The following is a 21,860-nucleotide window of genomic DNA, read 5'->3' as shown; positions in this document are numbered from 1 at the left end:
ACTGGATGCACTTTGGGTTCATTTTCCTCTGATTCTTTCCTTTACTTCTTTGGGTCTTTAGGAATAGAATTCTTGATGGCAAGACATACCACAAGAGATTAACTTTTTTCCCAAAAAATTAGTTCTCCATTTGCATAAAGTCATTGTATAATGCCACTGATCAGATGAATTTACTTACAGTAGCATACACCTTGTAGCACCTCTGTCCAAACTCAGAATGTAAATTACAAAATACAATAAAATCTTCAGCACTACCTAGGTTGTTCAGAATCTATGAGAATGAATTAAATAAAACTGACCTTATGGTCCTATAATATTCCACTGAGGCTGAAAATGCTAAGAGACTCCACGGTTAAAAACAACCTTTCTCAAGTTGCATTAATGTTCCTAGGCTCTAGGTTCCTTCAAATGAGAGAAACAAATATTTCATTTGTTTTCGGATTATAATTTCCCTCAACTCCGTGTGTTATTTGTTTCCTAACCTTATGTCCACTTTCAAAATTATCTGACAAAAATTCAACATATTTAATTTTCTTTCCACTCTGTCATAATTATCAGGGGGTATTTATGCTGGCATTTATGAATTAAAACCTTTCTATTTTATTCAGGGGCATCCTTTCAAACCCCACTGACACTCTAAGCTTTGGTCTCTCCATGTACTCCTTCATTTCCTTCTGCTGCTGTTGCTGCTGCTGCTGCTACTGCCCACGAGAACACTTGAGATAGCTTGGAAGACTTTCAAGGATAAAAAAATCCTTAATAAGGTACGAAAAAGAGCAACACATTGGGCCCAGGGCCAATTTAAAACTATGTCTGCATATAATAATATGTATAAAAATAAGCATCTTAAAATCACTCAGAAGGCAAAACATTTGATAGGGGTGAGAGATGAACTCTTTCGGGCAGGGCAGAAAAAAATTTCTGAACTCAGGAAAACAACATCGTGGAGATAAACTTTTTGTATAACAGGGCCTAAATGAATACATTGAATTTTAAAGAATAGAACTTTTATCTAAAACCAAACTATCATACACTATTAATCTGAGGTTAATAATACACCCATGACCTATGCTGCTGAGAGTAGAGAAATACTATACTTTAAAAGGTAATATATTTAAAACCTTTTTCTCTGCATTATTTCTTTCTCTAAAGTAAAAGTGAGCATAATCTTCACTTGAGTGCTCACTTTTGGTATATTCTCATATAAACTGAATGATAACTATAGAAACATTTATCATTATAGCTATTCTCTCCCATATTGTCTGAATTAGAGAGATATTAAAATATTCCATAAAATATTTTTCTGTGCCCTACTTTCTTCCCAACTCCCAAAAGCACTTCTATCCTCTCAACTACACAACCTAAGGGAAGACAAATAATTGAAAACATAATTATAATGGCAATATTACCTGATTTTCTGGCCCCAAACCCCTCCCCCCACCACACACACACACACACACACACACACACACACACACACACAGTTTATTACTAGCAGTAATGGCAGTGGTATGAAAATACTGACATTCACATTCCACAATGTATACATTTTATTTTTTTAATTATTGGTATTAATTTGTAACTTATTAAAATTATATTTGGTTAAAAACTGAAAACAATATTAAGAGGCATACAGTGAAAAAAGAGTCTATGTGCTACCATAAACTCTCAGACCTCATTCCCAAAGAAACCATCAACAATTTCTTGCATATTTTTTCAAAAATTTTTATGAAAAACATATCTAATATCTATTCATTTTTCTTTTCAAAAACATTACAAATAGGTACATGCCATACTGATTTTTTTTCATTTTACGAGTCTTTGAGATATTTCCATATCAGCATGAACACATCTGTCTTACCCTTTACAACACCTGAGAGGGTTATACCATAATTTTATTTAACCCATCCCCTATTAATGGACATTTAGGTGACTTCGAATTTTTTGCTATCAGAAACCATGCTGTAATGAGCACACATATGAGGGTTTCTATGGGATATGTAGAATTGCTGGGTCAAACAGTATATGTGCAATTTTAATTGCTATAAAATGCCAGACTGTCTTTCAAAGAGGTTGCAACAATTGGCAATCCCAGTAACAATTACTTTGCCTTCTTGCTAGTGAACATTTTTGCCTCTCGATAGGCAGCTATAAAACTAAGCTAATGCATATGAATGAATGGAAAGCTACTACCAAAGACGATCTCATGAGTTAAGCACAAACAGATTCAATTAAAAAGATACTGCTCTGTTCATTCATTTTTGCATGTGTTGTCTAGCCTCAATAAAATATTCATACTAAACTACTGAAAGCACTGAGTGATGGTTTTAGCCATCAGCTACGATGTTGTTATTAAATCCGTATCTAAAAGTTAGAGGGTAGCACAGAAGGTCTAAGGTTGAATTCAAGATAATAATTGTTAAACTTCACAAAATGAAAGTTAACTGAAGCCCATTGTTAGCTCAGAGGTTGTTGTTGTTGTTGTTTTGCTTTGTTTTGTTTTTTGTCCTCTTCCATTTCCAAATTGGAATTTGGTAGGATCAAAGCAATTATCAAGCAAATACAAAATACACTGATCAGGCTCTATTTTTCAAAATCTGCAATGACCATCAATTACCTAAAGGATGAGTTCAAATTCTTCAACATGGCACACAAAGCCCTTTAAAAGTTTGGCCCCAAATCAGCTCTCAAGATGCATGCTCTGTCACTCACATAGTTTCATCTTTGGCCACAACTATTCACTGGACCTTGAAAATACCATGCTCCTTAACCTCTTGGCCAAGCTATTGTTTCTGCCAGGATACAATTCCCTCTTGTCATGACTACATCTCCCACTCCTCCTTCAATACCCAGCTGAAATAGGACCTCATCCTAGAGGCTTAACCTGACGCGCTTATGAACCTCAATGCCCACAGCAATTTATACCTCTATCTATCAAGATTAAATCATAGTGTACTTACTATGTAATGCACTAATTGAAGGGAGAGACCATGGTCTGTATTTGCCCCATCCCCATGGCTTAACATGGTACACAAAATTAGTACTTACTATATGTTTGTTTATTGAATATTAAATGAAGTTTTCATGTAAGTTAAATTTAACACATATAGGTAACAATCTTTTCTTGGGGCAAAATTGTTTAAAAATATATCACAGGAAATTATGTGGGTTTTTAAAAAAATTTTTCATTCATTCATTAATCTACTACTCTTTGAGCATCTGCTATGTGCCTGGTATTTTTCTAGCAACTGTAGTTATAGAAGTGAACAAGACTAGGTCACACACCCAGAGAGCTTACATTCTAGTACAAAGTCAACTAATAAACAAGTAAATAATCTAACAAATACGTAAGTTATGGGCTGGAGAGCAAACTGAGGCAACTTTAAATGGGAAGGCTAAAAGAGACCTTTCTGAACAATTGACATGTGAAGTAAGAAGTGAATGAGAAGCCAGCCATACGGAAATCTAGGAAAAGAACAGGAAGACAGGCAGCTTGGCATGATTACGGAACAGAACAAAGACCCATAAAGATAAAATGTAGTGACTGCAAGTGGTTTATGGGTAGGAGTTGGATAGGGAAGTGCTACATAACAATAGTATGCTTAGTGATCAGGTCAGACATAAGGAACAGATCTGGTAGTCCATGATCAAAAGTTTAGGTATTAATTTGCAAAGGGATGTCCACTGGAAGAGAGGTGAAGTGATATGACTTGACTTTATGTTTTTCAAAAAAATCATTTTGGCAAATAAAAATGAAACTGTTCCTATTTTATATTGTTACCTTTTAAAATGTAATAAGTGATCATATAGATGTCTATATAGCAATTCCTTAGAGTCCTCTTAAAGTTCTGATAGGGCTGTAAAGCCCATTGAGAAGCTCATGAAAACCATTTCCTAGAAAAATTCATGAATACATAAAATTTTCCATTAAATGTGTGGATATTCACAAACTCTTCAAAGCCTATAGACCCTAACCTAAAAATCCTTCATTCAAAATGTAATCATGTTTCTTTCTTAGGAGAGTAGGAACAATATGCTGTTAACATCTGTTTCACCTCCTGTAATACATAAGAGATTATTTCTCTACATAAAGTACATTGGTACTAACCACAGTATAGAAACAACAAATCCCCTAACACGTACCTTAGTAACATCCCATACCGGAACCTCCTTGTTCTTATTTCTCCAAAATGAAAACTTCCAAACCAAGAGTCAAAGAACATCAAAGTGAATGTCAGACTCATCAGTCCAGCCACTGCATCCCAAACTCATACTCTTCCTTAAATGAGATTTCTGAATCTGGAGGATTAATCATAGAATTGCAGTCTAGCTGGCCAGCTCCCTGATTCTTTTTTTCCATTTGTAAGAATTGTTGATCATAATTATTTATTATATAACTGGGTGTATATATATGTGTGTGTGTGTGTGTGTGTATAATATATATATATAAAATATAATATATACCCAGTTCAAAACCAGATGGAATAACAAAAGAAACAACAAACAAAAAAAATAATGGGAGAAAAGGGTTGAACATGAAGTATTAGATACTCTATAATATTAAGTGTGTGTGTGTGAACACCAAAAAACAGGTTATTAACCTTTAGAGAGTTGTTCACAGATACACACAAAAAAACTGAAATACTATCAAAGCAATTGGCATTTGACAATTGTGACACTGCCTTAAAATATTTTAACTGTAAAACTGAAAAATGTATCACAGACTTACACAGCGATTTTACAAGGAAAATTCAATTGTTTTCTCTTTTCTCTCATGTAACAAAATTATTGACCATTATTAGCTACCATCAATAAATAATATTACCAGACTCCCATCAGCAATGTAACCATCAAAACAAGATCAGTAAAGGTCAGCACCATTTGCCTGAACCATCTTTTCTGCAAAAGTTTTTCAAACCATAACTTTATTGATTCCTCACTATTCCTGAAAAATATATATATATATATGTATATATATATATATATATGTGTATATATATATATATGTATATATATATATGTATATATATATGTATATATATATATATGTATATATATATATAGAGAGAGAGAGAGAGAAATTGTTTTGTTCCATATAAATCTATATAGAAGAAACTAGGTCATTTTCTTATGCACTTTTCTTGGACCTATTACTAATTACTGCTGAAATGGTGATCGGTTCACCTTCCCTGATGACTTATCATGAGTACCACTTCAGGTTCTGGCACAAGTGTTTTCAGGCAATATTCCACTTATACTATCAGCAATACAGCACCTTGCAGAATTCACCTTCCTGATATTAAGCCTACAGCATTTGCTGAGACCCAACTGTCCTTTGGAGATCTGACCCTTAAAACTCAGAGAAAAATGATACATCATAGAGGATTTCTAGAGAGTATCAAACTGTCCTAAATCTAAATTCAAATGCAGGCTGTCCAAATTCCAATTCTGTCACAGTGGTACTAATTTTTATGGCTAACACTGGAAACCATTTTATTCTAAAACTAGCTATTCTACTTTATGCCTGCCAGCCTGCCTGCTTGCCTTCCTCCTTTCTTTCCAAGAACATTTATCCTGTTAATTATGTTCAAACTCAGAAGTGTTCTACAACATTTTTCTATCATAGCAAAAAAACAAGCAAATACAGATTTTTTTAAAGGTGATTTGAATATGTGTCAAGAATTTGGGGATTTCCATTATTAAAATGCAAAGAAACATTCTAATAATCTCATCACCAACCAACAAGATTCAAGTTCAGCAAATTAATTACAGCACAATCATTCACTAACTATGGATCTGTACAAAGTTCTCCCATTGTGCCAACCAAGGTTTCCCCAAACTCTGACATGTCTGTGTTGTGCACTAGAATACTTTTTAACCTAAGCTTCTCAGAACCTATAATTCCCAAGCAGCTGGACTGATAACTCTAGATTAATTTACGAAGTAATTTTTCATCCCAGAAAACCTATATTTCTTCAAAAAGTTTAAATTTAATATTAAATTTGGCCAGGTTAAGTGCTATGACATTTTGTAGCTCTTTACCCCATAAGATTACAATAAAATATGCAAAAAGTCATTATATATTGCAAAGTATAATATGAAATATGATTTAGTTATGAAATGAGCATATGCCCTCATCCTTTATCATATCAACAAAGTAAAAACATTAAGTTAAATTAACATGGAAGTAGTCACACATTTCTGTTTGTAGACTGAATCTTCATGCCTTTAAATGACTATCAAATGTTAGGACCTGGACCTAAAAGAGAAAGAATGAAATATTAATAATGTCCCACCTTGTGGGAGCTCGACATTACTTGACACTACACAGAAACTGACCTTTTTGTCCTTCAGGCTTGCCTACCAGGCCCCATCTTCTATCGCAAAAGCCAAATCATCTGATCCCAAACTAACTGTCAACTGCCTGTGATGGTGGGGAAGCCAGACATCAATCAATCAGGTTTTATCAGACGCTCTCTTCGTTTCTCTGTTGTGCTCATCTTATCATCTGACCCAGTTGTAGCCCTGACTTCAGAAGCTTAAGCAACTTGATGACAAAATATGTGCCTGTTTGTCCAAGATGCACATTGTTAAGAAGTGGGGTGATATTTTTAGCAGCTACCTAATATATTTGCAAATGAACACTTGAATATTTCAGATTCACTCAAGTCCCAGGTTGGTCAGTCTCCCCTGTACACTGAGTCTTCATTTGGAGGTGGGAGGCCCAATATTTCCAAAAAACGCAAGAGTACTTATGTACAAGTCAAACAGCATTGGAAAATCTGGTTATTTTTATGTCAATGTAAGCAGAAAGGCTACCAAAATGAGAATTTGAGAATGTCACTTCAAGAAGAGAAAGAAGAACTGATTGGTAAGTGTGCACAATACAAATTCAGACAGTTTTATCCTAAATAAATAAAAATAACTTAGAAAATTAAAAGCCATTTAATCTATTTATATTGACAACAGTCTTGGAAAAAACATGTTTAAACCTTCAATGCTGTTGCCAAATCTAGGTTAGCTGGCTTCCTACTTTAATGGCATAGTCCAGAATATACTGCTATACATAAACAGTTGAGGTAAGAAGACAATTACAACACAGATTACAAATTTGAAATTTTCAAATTCAAAGCAGATATTCGTTCTATAATTTCTACACAAAAGCAAGAAGAGTAAAATATACATATATTTTGTGGATATAAGCATTCTATGTTGGCATTAGTAACTGTCTTCTTGCCTCACTTTGTTGTTTTTCTTCAAGGAGAAATTAAACTTTTAGATCTTTCTTAAAATCAAAACAACAAGCTTCATGATGAATATAAGCATTCCATTAATAGGTAATGTTGTCAATATACATCCATCCCCCAATAATACATTCACTGAGCTATATTTTGAAAAGCATTTAAAAACAGCATAAAATTTCTTCACAGAATTTATCCAAATAAATGCATACTTTAATCATGTAAGTATGGGCTATATAACATCACAAAGTATTACACTGACATATTGGACATGGATGAAAATGCACACCATGAAAATAATTTGTATACAGTGAGAAACACATCATTCCAAATGATTCGCACTGAATTCACAGGGTTTTATTAAAAAGAAAAAACACACACACACAAATGCCTTTGAACTTCTCAGCACACACAAGGAGCATGAAGGCTTACCAGTCCATGGCATTTACTGTTAGGAGACATTAGCTATGGGAAATTAAACAAGCTTCTACTAGAAAATGAAAAAAAGGCCTTTTATGCTATTGTAAGTAATAAAAAATAAATTTAAAACTTTTCTTGAATACCAAATATGCTACAATTAATCTATGACAGATTTTGTCAGTGAATTATAAATAATCAGATCTTTTAATCGAATTGTGTGTTAAGCTTTAAAGCCACTCTTCCAAACTAGGTAATCTTAATGTAGCATGCAAAGGGAAAATGGACAAAATTGAGTGTATTTTTTATTTACAATTTTTATTTCATCATTATTTTAAAGTACTTTGAAATACATGATTTTTAGCTATTTTTTCTGTATAGAATAAGAGAAATGTGGCCCTCAACTGAACTTGAAGACTCGTCAATTCACTATTTTTAATCTTCTATTCCTCAATTTACTGCAGGCTCCCAATAATTTCAGGACATACCACAGTGAAGCAAATAGTTTTTCTTCAAGAGTATACCATTGTTCAATATTCCAAGGGAGTAATTAATACAGAAATTAAAAGTTTAAAGTTCCATATTAACAGAAAATAAAGAAAAAATGTTTGCTTCTAACTCTAAATTTTGTAATTAATTCTTCACTCTATTCATATTTTTAAAATTTTGCAAATTTTGTGAAAAATAAAAGAATTTTAGAGATTATTACTGAAAAAATCTATGTAGATTAACTTACACTTGCAAGAAATCTTCCTATGCAATATTATACAGATGTCAACTAGCTAAAAAATCTTTTTTTCTCTCTCAATAAGAGATGCCCACAAAAGTTTTCCAAATGTGGATTAGAATAATTCATATCATCCAAAGAATTTATCTTTCTAAGAAAGAAATCAATTGACAAATAACATTAAATATATCTTCCAATAAATGCCCATTTAAAAATAATTTTTAAATTCATTTTAAAATTTAAATACAAATTAAAATATAGCATTTTATTGGCCTCCACAAAAACTAGGTGTTATAGCTTTTGTGTGGGATATTAAATTTATATATTTTGTGATAGTCTATGTATAGCTTATTTTATATATATATATATATTTATGAGTTGTTTATGATAAATCTGACATTAGCAACAGCCAAGTCACCTCCATGAAAATATCAGACTAACACCATTCAACAGTTTCTAGCAATTCAAAGGGGAGGACTTTCACAAATAAATAAAACTAAGCAGTTAGTGGCACATGACCAGATGACATGAAAGTCTACTTAATATTAACTATTATATTAGTGTCTCTTATTAGCAAATTCCTTGCTTTACATACATGGGAATACTACCAGAATATTAAATAATAAATAGCATTACCTTGCAGGTTATAAAAAGAGTTTTTAGCTACTCTACAGACAATGCTTGGAATGAATATGGCATTGGTTATAGCCATCAGGCACTGAATATTCATTTTTTTAAGTCTCTGAAATTGTAAGCTGCATATAGAGTTCCCCAATCTACAAACATTTAAGTGTATTTAGTGCCCATAATCCTAAAAGAAAAGTAGAATATTTAAAGCATCATTTCTAAATCTAGCTTTTACTCTCCGGCATAACTTTTTTTTAAAAGACTAATTTCCAATGATCTGATTTTAAAAATGCTCATTTTAAGTAATCAGCATATCTGAGGAATAGCTGCAAAATAGTGTGTATTTTGTTTCCTGGTTTTGGAAACCTACGATCTTTTATTATATTTGTAGGAATTCTCCAAAGGCATTTATTCCTTCACCTTATTGTTTAGGATTTTCCTTATTAGAAATAAGTATTTGCTAATATGAAAATATCCTCAGATAAACTTCTTTCTTGGACTTGAAACTACACAGCAAAACTCTCTCACCGTAGACATAGGACTAGCTACCTCACACTCATCGTGAGGCAAAAACTAGTCCTCAAAGATACTTTCTAAATACAGTTGATATTAATAAGAGACTAGGAAAGAAGAAATGAAAGAGAAAAAAGAATAGCCTTTTATTTTAACATGTGAAATCTTGACCAAAACCAATTCTACCTAATGATAATCACATATTCATTTTAAAAGTATTTGTCAAAAGCACAAATTACTAAAACTTTAAATAATCCTGACTAGACAATTCTTCTCTACCTTTTTGTCATCTCAAAAAGACGGCCTGACAGTAACGGTATGACACCCTCTCAGACAAGCCTCTCGGCATTAATATTTAAATCTTACCTATCCCTTGTGATTGGAATTCAGCCTCTATTCGCAAACAAAAACTAAATCAATGTTCTTAGAGTTCAAACTAGATCCCTAAACAGTTTGCCACTCTCTATGCACAGATAAGATAAACTTTCTTTGACCCAAGAGATGAAGTTGCCATGACGATCAGAGAGTCCACTTTCTATATTGATATTTTGCTGATGTAACAACAAATAGAACCAGATCCTAGTGCCGATAATGGTGATTAATTAATACTAATATTGATCCCTACAAGCAAGAGACAAGGCTATTAACTTGAAGCCTGAAAAGTCAATTGTTACCTGTGGCAGAGATACTAGGAGCTGATTTGGAAGCATAATAAACAAATGTGCTATCTTTATGCTAATACCTTTAAAGAGATAGTTCTTTCCAGAATGCCAAATATTGCCACATCTGAGCTTATTAATTTAATTGCATTTCAGTTTTTAAAAATGTAACCTTATTAAACGATACATACTTACCTCTTTATCTATGGTGAAAACACATTCTCTGGACTGAAGTAACAGACTTTTGCTGCTATTCGTTTGATGAGAGAATGAACTGATAATTTTACACAGTGGCAGGTGTTGAATTAGACCGGGTTTCAAAAACATCTGCAGTGTTTCTCTGAAATATCCTACTAGTCCTTTGGAATTGGGAAGGTAACAAAGAATCCAAGGGAATATGACTTGGAGGATAAGAACTCCAAAGTTAACATATCCACTCATACTTTTTAGTGAACAAAGATTACATTTAAGAAAGGAAGCTACTTTTGAAAAATATTTCTTATTCCCATACAAATCTAATGTTATATTCTTCACACAATTTGGCCAAACATCAAAAAACTTTCTCTAAATGGTATCACTTTATTTAAAACTTGAATACACATTAAGTTATTTTCAAGGAAAGTTCATCTGGGAAGGTGTTTTCTTGAAATGTAAAAATAAATTACAGAATGTAGAATAAATAAAATTAGTTTATTCACTTAATACCTTTTGAGGAAAAGTTATATATTTAAATAGGGTTTGATTAAAATGCAACTGAGAAGTCCATTGTTGATCTGTCCTGGTTATGGGGAAGAACAAAAACATCGATACTAGAAATCCATACACTAGTCCCAAATCCTTCATTTTAGCTAGAGTGTTAGGTTTAATCTTGTCCTCTTAAAACTTTTTCCAGTGGTAACAACTAATAGTGAAATGGCTAATTAGACTTTCGTTTCTTTTTTAAAAATCATTTGAAAAAAGAGCTAATTAGTTCTTGAATAGCAAGGCCTCAACTAGCAGAAATAACATGGATGAGAAAGTCCTTGGACAGTTCATGAACAAGAAAAATGAGTTACCTTAACTGTAATGCAAAGTTAACTTAATGGACATTACTATAATAATATGGATACATATAGATATAGGCAAAACATAGATATATTAATAGATACAGGCTAGACAATTGATATAATCAATGACTATCTTAATTTATCCCCAGATTACCCCCAAACAAAGCAATGTATAAATCTTTGTATTAACTCTTAAACATATAATGAAATTTTAAATTGGCTGAACATAAAAATCAGGAGCAAATCACTTAATTGCATTGTCTTCCTTCCTAACTTAATAATACCAACTTAATATATGGCAAGTCACATAGCAACCAAATTGATGCAATTTTACTATTCTTAAGGTCTCTAACTGCAATTTATAGAAAATTCAAACTTGTGTGTTCACCCAAGAAATACTAAGATATATAATATTAAACTTGATAGTCCCTCTTACTCCATAATTTTACAAATGAACTACTTTGAAAGTTACCAGAAGTGGAAAACATACCTACTCTTTTATTTCAAGTCATATCTCCAAGTTTTAGCCCTAAACTCTTAAGCAATTAGAGATAAAAATGTTAGTTCATTTATATTTACATTGCTGACTCCATTGAACTTTAAAAAACCTAACTTCATGACTAATGATCTTTTACAGGTAAACTTTCTTAGGTTGTCTTTAACTCTTAAAAACCAAAATGACTATATTGGTCATCTTAAGATTTGTCTGTTTTTAAATCCACTAAATAATTATTCCTAGATTTTTCCAGAAAAAATCTATGCATTGATATTATTTCAAATTCATAAATCAGGAAATTATTTTTATGCTATCTTACAAGCAATAGGTACTATTCTATCTGTTTTATTGCTAAAACAACTATTATACAGAATACAGGTTCCTTTAATTTGTGGCACGTGTAAAAATAGGTTTTCCGAAATGTTGCTCAGTCAAAAATGTAGAAAATAAAAATCTCCAATATGAGAAGTATTACAGACCAAAGAGAAGAATTATTTTGCATTATATTCAATTATCCCTAAAATTCAGAAAAAAAATAACTTATTTGTTTCAAAACAAAAACCTGTCTTAATATTTGGCAGGAGAAAAAAAAGACATTCTAACTGTGTATAACAATGATCAATGTTTTCAAATATAGGTAGTATTCCCAAAACATTTTTAAAAATAAAAATATCAAAGACAACACAGTAGATAATTAACCCTAAAATTATAGATTGAATATCAATAGAAGAAAGACTTTTAAAAGACCCATAGAACAATGAAAAATAGCCATACTCAATTATTTGCATAACATAATTTTAAGGTTATAGAAATGATCCAACTAGAGGTTTTCATGTGACAAATATTAAATAATAAATTTAATATATAATATTCTTATTTTAAAACAATAATTGTTTTATGCATAAAATATTGACTATAACCTACCCTTTATAAAAATAGCATAGAACATTAAAATGCCAATGCGCAAGTTAGGAATTCGTACGGCCTAAAATTGTTATATCATCTCAAATAACAAAATGGTAATTATTCAATATGAATGGATTCCAACTTCTGGGAAAGACCCTCTACCGAACTGCTAACAAGATTATTCTCTAACCAGAACATTTTACTTTCAACATGCATGCTAATTTCCAGTATCTGCTTCACTTTTCAAGAAGAAAACATTCTGCCTCTTAATTCACCCTTTCATTATACTTCACCACAAATTATTTGGCACCTGATCTAGACCAAACATTTATGCACTACGCTCTGAAAAGATCAAGCAATCTAAAAGTTTTATGAAAACTCTACTTTTATGGTATAAAGAAGAGTGCCTTTTCCTAATCTTATACAAAAATAAATTACTTGAGTTTCTCCTTTTCAAGCTCTATATTAACTACTAGAGAGCAGATAATGACATTCATTTGCAAAAAAAAAAAAAAAAAGTGATGTCCACCTCTTCCTGCACCCATAGCCAATACACTTCAGTGTGACTGGAGTTGGGGACATATAAGGCAGTAAACACATTACTAGAGACAACAGCTTGAAGAAGAAAATAACAATAAAACTGCACACACAACACATTTACTAATCATAAAGAGATGCATTGGTAAAAGAAAAAAATCATCATTTCTGTCATAAATTTTGCACTGCAGCCCCAGAATGGAGAACAATCTGGGCAATTTATTGGCATATTGGCAGGAGGTGATAAGGCTAAAAACAACAACAGCGAGCAGCTGTGCGGGGAGATGGGCTGATAGCATGATATGGCTCCCACACCAAACACCTCCCGTCCTATCAGGGCTTTTTATCAAACCAGGATTACAATAATAGCTTATGAGAGAAAGCTTCTGAGGGGAGGGCAGAAAATATAGTCTTGGAATAGGAAAAAAAAATCTGAATTTTGGGACAAAACATGGGGGCAAAATACATAATTTATCACTGTATTATCAGGAAATCCAGGCAGTCTAATCAAGGAGCACTGAGTGACTATTTTTTGCCTTATCATCCAAAGTGGTGGAAACGGAGAAGGAATTATCAGGCTTCTGCAGATTGCTGGGCTGGAATTTTAATGGTAATAATCGGGTTTCTGATGGTATATCTTCTCCGCTTATCTTTCCCATTATCTCCTCTTATCTGGCCAGTCATCATAGCAAATTAATGGTGCTCTTTCAGCGTCGCCTTTTTATCGCTGCCCGGAGAGCACCCAAGGGGAAAGAATAAGCAAAATATTAAAATACTGCATAAATCACAATTTTAGATAGCAGGGAACTGTATGCAGTAAAAGAAAAAAAAAACTGTGCCCAACAACCTTTTTGTCCTTTAAATTGACTGTCTTCAGAGTTTCTGGTATAAGCTGACTTTTTGCTTGTCATAGTTGCTTCAAATTGGGTATGTTTTATCAGCAGTGCCAAAGCTTTATTTTCTAATCCTGGACATTTCCAAGTTTAAAATGCAGTTTTATTACTGGCGTGAAATGCTATTGTTTCACAGAGCATAGCTTTCTGAGATTCTCCAAACTTATATTTGATCCAGAACATCAAAAGTAACAGTGTTGTTTGTAATAGAAAATGGTGCACTTCTTACGCACTACTAAAACTGGGGGGAGAGACCTACAATAATAACGACTTTGGATATCAACACAAACTTCTCCATCTGCGAAACTGCCTCTTATGCCTGAACAGGCAAAAGGAGACAAACGTCAATAGATTGCAACTAAAATGACTTTAAAGCTGGTCAAACGACATTTAAGTATCTCCCCCACCCCCTAAAAAAGCTAAAAGAAGAGGACTACTCCAGTATAGAAATTCAAAGACCTTTAATTTTTCACTTTTCTTAACGGTGGAATGGAAGAAGGGGTGTCCACATTTGCACAGATTATCACTGTGACCCCAAATTGAATCCAATAAAAGTATTACATGCATATAAATAATACATATGTATGCATATATCAGCAGGCAATGCTCACTGTGAATAAATATATAAATATATTTGTTCACTTTCAAATGAAATAACTTTCAAGCATTTTTGATACTTAATAAATCACAGCATTCAAATAAACCACTAAAATGTTTTATGACTTGTAACACAAGAGTAGCATCAGCAATTAGTTTCAATGCTTTAATCTTCAATTATATGAGGTGGACATAGAAGGAAATAAAAAAATTAATGTAGCTAATTGAGAAGATAACAAAGTATTCCCAAGTAAAATCAGATGGTCTTGTGCCATACAATCAATTAATATTAATTATTTATTAACAAACCCAGGTGACAGCCATGAACTAAAAAGCATTTGTATCTAATAATGTTTATAATCATATCTTATAATAAGCACGGTTTTGTATTCTAAGATGCAACATTTAAACAGAGGAATCTGATCAATTGAGTCCTAAAAACTACAAGGCAATTGGTGGAAACCATGAATAATCATTCTGAAAAAGTGAGTCTTCAAAAACGATATCGCTACTTGATTAAAACTGCTTTGAGCCAAAAGTGAAGTCCAGTACTTGCTTTAACCCAAGTTGCATAGAGTGAGAACTGAAGTATAAGAGAAGGAATCGAAGAAATAAAAGCTAGAAAGTCATGTTTAAGTAGCAGACACACACACACACACACACACACACACACACACACACACACAAAGATCTGAATACTTAACTGTTGATAACTGTTTATAACCTGGCCCCCATTTCAAGGACAAGTTGATTGATAAGATTTATTTTTAAACTACACCAAATAGAATTTTCAACATTTGGGGGTGGGGCGAGTATGGTTAATAATCAGGGGGGAAAGGGATACTACTAAAGTCTTATCCTTAAATTACATCATAATTTGTTTAAAACTAATTGCAGACTCTGAGCAACACGGTGAAACAGACACATCATAAAGCTAGCAAAAAATAAACTAATAAGGTTTTTTCTTCTTTTCGGCCAAAGCGTTGAAGATATGTCGCAGGCCTATAAAACGCTATTGGAGGAATTCTCCCCAAGCCAAGAAAAGTTGACCGACTTGATCTCTGCGAGCGTGCCTGTTTCGGAAGGTGTCTCTTGACCCGCCGTGTCCTCTAAGCACCATCGGGACCCCCGGGCACCCGGGGGCTCAGGGCCATGCACTCCCCTGCGCGCCCACCGCCTTGAACTCACAGCTTCCGCGCTGGGAAGTGACTGGCGGCCCCTCCCAGGGAGGACTCCGCGCGCCACCAGGGCCAGACACCACCCGAATCCCCGCTCGGCTGAGCGTCCTGGCGGCGTGAGCCGGACCCGCCCGAAGTCCCAGGACACGACCTGCCAGCCACCAGCCCGCGCCCGCAGGGCAGAGACGCACGGCCGCCCGCCGCAGAGGCGCGAACTTTTACACCTACTTTTTGTTTCGCTTCGGGTTTGGTGTGGCTCTGGCACCGCCCAGGATCGGGACCCTGACGCTCTGATTTTCCACCGCGTGGGGAAGTTACCTCCCTCGCCCCGAGGTCTCGACCGCCCAGCTTTTCTGAGAAGTTTCTACCCTGGTTACTAAAAGTGGTTCCCAAGAGTAGTCCCACGTCAATCGCACAAAGCAATGACAACAACAATAATAAGCGTCTAAAGGAGCGGGACTGCCCCTCCGGCTGGACGACAGCGCCGGGGACTCGCAGCGTGCGCGGGTCGGAATTAAAAAAGCAGCCCGGGAGCGCGAGGGCTGAGCGGGGCAAGCATGGGCTGCTCCTCGCAGCCTCTCTCCTGCCCGAGGCTCGGGCTGGCCGTCTGTCTGTCTATGACTGTCTAGTTGTCCCTTCGACTGCTCAGGCAAAGTTTGAGACATCTAGGGGACCGGGAGCGGATCTCCCCTAGCCCCGCCACCCACCCACCGCTTTCCCGTCCCGCGCACCCCGCTCCTGGGCAATAATCCCACCAACTCCCGGCCCCGCGCGCAAACTTACGTTTGATCTGCCGGGGTTTGCTTTGCTTTCGCCGGGACATCTCGGCGGCGGCTGCTGCCGCTGGGGCTCCCGCGGTGCCCGCGGTCGCGGCTGCCGCTCCCTCGGCTCCCGCCGCCGCCGCCGCCGCCGCCGCCGCTGGCCAGGCTCGGCCCGCCGCCGGCCGGACTCCAGGTGCTCCGGGCGCTGGGCTCCTCCGGGAGCCGCGGATTCACGTTCGGAGATGAGCAAGCAAATGAGAGAAGAGAGACGGGGGCACAGAGAGTGTGACAGTGAGGAGGGGAGGGGGAGAGGAGAGCGACGGGGGGAGAATGGGAATGTACAAGCGAACGGTCAGGGAGAGAGAAAAGGGGAAAGAGAAGAGAAAAATAACACGGAAAGAAGGAAGAGAAGGAGGGAGGGACGGGAGAGCGAGCAGCGAGGAGAGGGGGAGCGCGGGGGCGCAGGGCGCGGGAGGAGGAGCGCGCTCGCTCGCCCCTCGCCCCGGCGTGCGGGACGGATACTCCGGCGCCGCCGCCGCCGCTCCGGGCCGCGCAGCTCCTGTTCTGCGGCGGGAGGCGGCGAGGCGCGCGAGGGAGGGGCGCGCCGGGGCTGTGGGGAGGGGAGACTATTCCATCAGCCAAAGGAGGATTGGCTGCATCCAAATCCAGTCCGGATGCAAACTACGGCCCCGGCCTTGGTCGGGCGAAGTGCGGGGGATCCAGGCGGTGGTGGGGGATGGGGGCAGGGGTGGGTGGGAGTTGGAGGGGAGGCGTGGGGACGGCTTGGAGGAGGGCCACCTTCTGCAGTTGTCACCGCGTCAACGCTGGGCAGCTGCCAGGGCACCCCGCCCCACCTCCTTCCAGGCAACTTCTTCCAACGGCCCTCTCTGAGGGACCCCAACTCTCCTCTCTCACGCCTCGCCAGTCCAGCGGGGCACAAAGAAATCTCAGTCTCTCCCTAAACTTTGTGCTTTCAGTTATGCCGCCCCCTCCCCTCACCCCCAACCCCCGCCCTCCCAGCTTCTTGGCAGGAAGGTTAGGCCACTGGCAAAGTCCTCGGCGAGAGCCAGATGATCACAAATGCCAACTGTGTGTCTTGGGGCCAGTTAAGTCCGCTCATCTGCCCAGGCTCTCAGAAGACCATTTCTTTGCTCTCAAGGCTCCCAGGAGACCGCTGCGGACACGGACCGTCCCGCTCTGGGCCCACGTGGATGAGGTGCTGAGTCGGATCCTCAACGTGTTCTGTCACCCACAGTTTCCATTTTAAATTGTAAAATATTCAAATTTGGAGACAAGCAGATATTTTTCTCATCTTGAAAAGGAGGAGCGAGCGTTAGCTAGCTGATTAGCCGTAAGTGGAAAACGAACCATCTCTAATAAAAATACTAACTTTTTGGGAAAGTCTGGGGAAGTTCTGTAGTCCCACCCTGCCCCGTGACCTTTCTATTCTCTTAGTCTTCTGCCACAGGGAAGCACCGATCGACTAATAAAAGATTTGATCTTGCTGTAATTTCCCAAGCGGGTAAGACCCAGTAACTATTTAATGGTTCTTTAGCTTCTAAAATTTTGTTTTATTCTTATTCAATTACTGTATGTGTAGTATATCGGCAACTGCAAGCCAAAAGGAGAACAAATTTTGAGGTGATTTGCATAGTTATTATTTTGGCCAAGTTAAACTGTATGAGGTTAGCTTATTTTCTTACAGTTTCATATACGGTAAGTATTAAATATATTCTCCCATGTGGGTTGGAAGGAGCTTCTATCCAAGTGCAGTGGGACTAGCTGCTTTATGTAATCAGTATTTACTAATAAACTCCACTGCAGTTCACATGAGTCCCCCAGATACTGCTGACTTTTCCCCCAGGAGGTTGTGAAGTGGACCATTCTGATCTCAAATTGTGTCCCCGTTTGCTTGGTTGACTATTATTTGTGTGAACCACACCAAACTGGATACTCTAAAAGGGTCTGGGGTCAGCACAGAGCCTGGGCTGATTGAGCATAATGCAAGATGCTCAGTGTGTAAGAGGCACTGTAATCAGTGTCATTTATAACCCCAACAGGACATCTTCTGGAAGGTGTAAAGAGTTGCCTTGTGAAAGGTATGGCCAAGAGAATCTTAATACAAAGCTGAAGACAAATTGTGAATTTTATTACATTACCATTAGTACTATTACCATAGGAGGCTGTAAGAATACATAGTCCTCTGCAGTGGAAAATGCACTAAATGACAAAGTCCCTCCTGTGAAGAACCAACAAATTAAGGCTGAAAGTACCATGAAAAGCAGGGCCATTTATGTTTGTGTTGTGGAATAAATAAGCAGAGAGAGAACTGCAGATTTTTACCTCCTTCATTTTCAATTCATTACAGTTAAATTGGTGTGCTTAGAATCAGATGTATTGTACATTATGGTTTTTAAAGATCTTTTTACAGAACTGGCTGAATTTTTATGTCACCCAAAAGGAATGCCCATTGGAATTAAAATATCGTAACTGTTTCTTTTGGAGTTTGAAGTGGTTAAATATGCAATGCAAAAGAAAAACAAATAAATCTCAGCTAAATGTTTAGTTTAAAAGCTAAAAGGAGCAGAAGTCAGAGAATTCAAGGCAAGATTGATAACCAGAATGCATTATTAGAGATAGATATTAGTTTATCTAAATTTATAAATATATATTAATATAGTCAATATGAATGAATTAAAATAATGAATACTATTACATTTTATATTTTTTCATTATTTTTAATGAGAATATTAATGATATTTAAGGTTCAGTTTTTCTTTTTTTCTAGTTTAATTCACTGAGGTTATAAAATAAATAGACGGAAAAACCTATAAGCAATTATCTCTGTCCAAATGGATATAGCAGCCCCAAACCACAGCTACATGACTATCAAACAATGATTATGAAAACCACAATTGAGAAAAGCATCAGGGAATGATATTGCAAAACCACAGCAACAAATGTGTCTGTGATACTGAAAACCACAATTCACAACTAATACCCTCTGTATCGCAAATTACAATTTAACTATAAATGTGCAAATGTACAAATAAAAGCACAAAATAATTTCTCATTTGCTTAAAAATAAATTATTGATTTCTAGGCTCACCGATTTAATGTCTACATAATGGTTTGTTTAGAAAAGTTTCTGCTTTAAGAAACAAATCATTTTAAATTACATGTAAAATGCCAGTTACTTTAAAAACTGGAAAAATGCAACTTGTAATAATATTTTCTAAAATGTTAAAAAAAAAAAAGATCTGAACTCAATCTGAAACAAACATCTACTTCAGTCTAGCTTTTTTCATAAAGTTCTTTGGAAGTGAAAAGGTATGTGAATGGAAACTGTTTACAGAATAAAAGCTCAAAGTATTGTATTACAACTTCAATGAGAATAAAATTGTATATACAGTAGTACCCTTCTATACCCAGAGCTTATATTCCAAAGCCCTCAGTAAATGCCTGAAACTACGGATAGTACCAAACCCTATATATACTGCTTTTTCCTATACAAAATACCTATGATCAAGTTTAATTTCTATAGTAGGCACAGTAAGAGATAAACAACAACTAAAAATAGAACAATCATAACAATATATTGTAATAAAAGTAATATGAAAGTGGTCTCTCTCCTCTTTCTATGTCTCTCTCTCAAAATATCTTATTGTCCTGTAGTCACCTGTTTTGGGGCCTCAGGTAACTAAAACCACAGATAAGGGGTACTACTGTATTCTTAAATAGTCATTTTAGCTAGAAAACATACATAGGAAAATAAAATAAGATGCCAGTACCCAAACTACATTAATATGCAAAACCAAGTGCTTATTTACAACTGAATGAAATATTAGTTGAAAGTTTATAGGAGTACCAGATTTTGCAAATTAAAATACAAGATGTCTATTTAAATATAAACGATAAGTTTTCAGGGTAAGTATGTTCCCTGCAATATTTGGTATGTATTTATCCTAAAAAATAATTATGACTTATATCAAATTCAAATTTAACTGAGCATCCTGTATTTTATCTGGCAAACCTACAAATTTAGCATTTCCAAAAATTTATGGTGGTTTATAATAGTGTTTCCAGGAAAGGCAGAGAAACTCTAAAGTACTTCCTACAGATATAAATACATTTAATTCTTGACTATAATGTTATTTAGGGAAAGCAAGGTAGAAGGAATAAATTTCTCTACAAAAATTCTTACTTTATTTGGCACAGTTCAGAAATGCACTCTCAGTGTAAATGGATTGCATTCATGTATGTCTTACTCTTGGATTTGTTTTTAAAATGTGTTCTTTCCTCCAAGGGATCAACAAATTGATAAAGCAACCTCCCAGGCCACATCTTATTAGGCAGCAAGCTGCCTTCTTTATTATGGGAGTAAACAATATTCAAAAGCTTCAGAAAGACTTAATTTTTTGCCCTTGTATACTCACCAGAAATTGAATACAGTTTATCTGCCTTGATTTAAGATTGTGACACTGAATTGAACAAGAATGCAGTATGAAAATAGTGTTTAGTATTTGTGTATCTTTATAATTTCAACAGTTTAAAAATAAAAATCAACAAATTCATCTAAATGGCATTTCTATTTTATAACTATGAAAAAGACTATCTGTTTACTTGCAAAGGAGCTAAGGGCTTTGAAAACATTCAGTCAGTCTAGATCAGGGGTTTAACTTGAGCTTTGTGGAGACCATCAATCCCTTGAAAGAAACTGGTATGTATAAGTAATTTTCTAAGGAGTGGATCTATTGAATTCATCATATTTTCAAAAATATGTGAAAAAATGTGAATCAATATGGGTTTAGAATCACTGCTATGTTTATGTGTAAATGTTTATGATATACAAAAAAATTAAAACGTGGATAATTTAAGTTTTCCTCTTTGTACCCATTTCTTTATGTCCAAATCACTACTCCTATAAAAGTTTATCTAATAGGATAAACTCTCTTTTTATAAAGTTCTTTGCTACTAAGTCTTTATGATGCACAAAGTACCTCTGGGTAGAAGAAAAATATTTAAAAAGTAACCACCAAAATATTAATAGACGTATGTTGATTTTGTATGCCTAACATTCGTTCTCTCTTCTACTGGTAATAATGCCTTGAAAACTTTTGAAGAATTATTCCTCCCACTCTCTGGTCATGTGATTTAAGTGTGGTCTTCCCCAGTTAAACCAATTAAAATATTCCATATGTCTGTCTACAGTGATTGGCTCTATGGTCCAAATTGTTCCTAAAAAGTCAGTCCTGGAACTTT

The 21,860-nt window shown here is 35.8% G+C and overlaps 1 protein-coding gene across 4 annotated transcripts in view, besides 1 other annotated feature; it reads right to left on the bottom strand.

The window, feature by feature from the left end:
* Positions 1–17,164, bottom strand: part of ZFPM2 (zinc finger protein, FOG family member 2) — a 486,102-nt gene extending 468,938 nt beyond the window's left edge. For 2 of the 4 annotated variants that reach the window (NM_012082.4, NM_001362836.2), the window contains exon 1: positions 16,621–17,164. In NM_012082.4, the coding sequence (NP_036214.2) occupies positions 16,621–16,660 (40 nt within the window). In that variant the 5' untranslated portion in view covers positions 16,661–17,164. The other 2 variants (XM_047421634.1, NM_001362837.2) reach the window with 2 other exon arrangements.
* Positions 12,971–14,300: an enhancer, noted in NCBI's record as "VISTA enhancer hs195". NCBI's record gives its function as "enhancer in: midbrain (mesencephalon)[7/10]" and the evidence as "EXISTENCE:transgenic organism evidence [ECO:0001131][PMID:17130149]".

Source organism: Homo sapiens, chromosome 8 (genome assembly GCF_000001405.40).
Source record: "Homo sapiens chromosome 8, GRCh38.p14 Primary Assembly".
NCBI lineage: Eukaryota > Metazoa > Chordata > Mammalia > Primates > Hominidae > Homo > Homo sapiens.
Note: the sequence above shows the minus strand (reverse complement) of the source record. Positions and strands in the feature narration are given on the sequence as shown.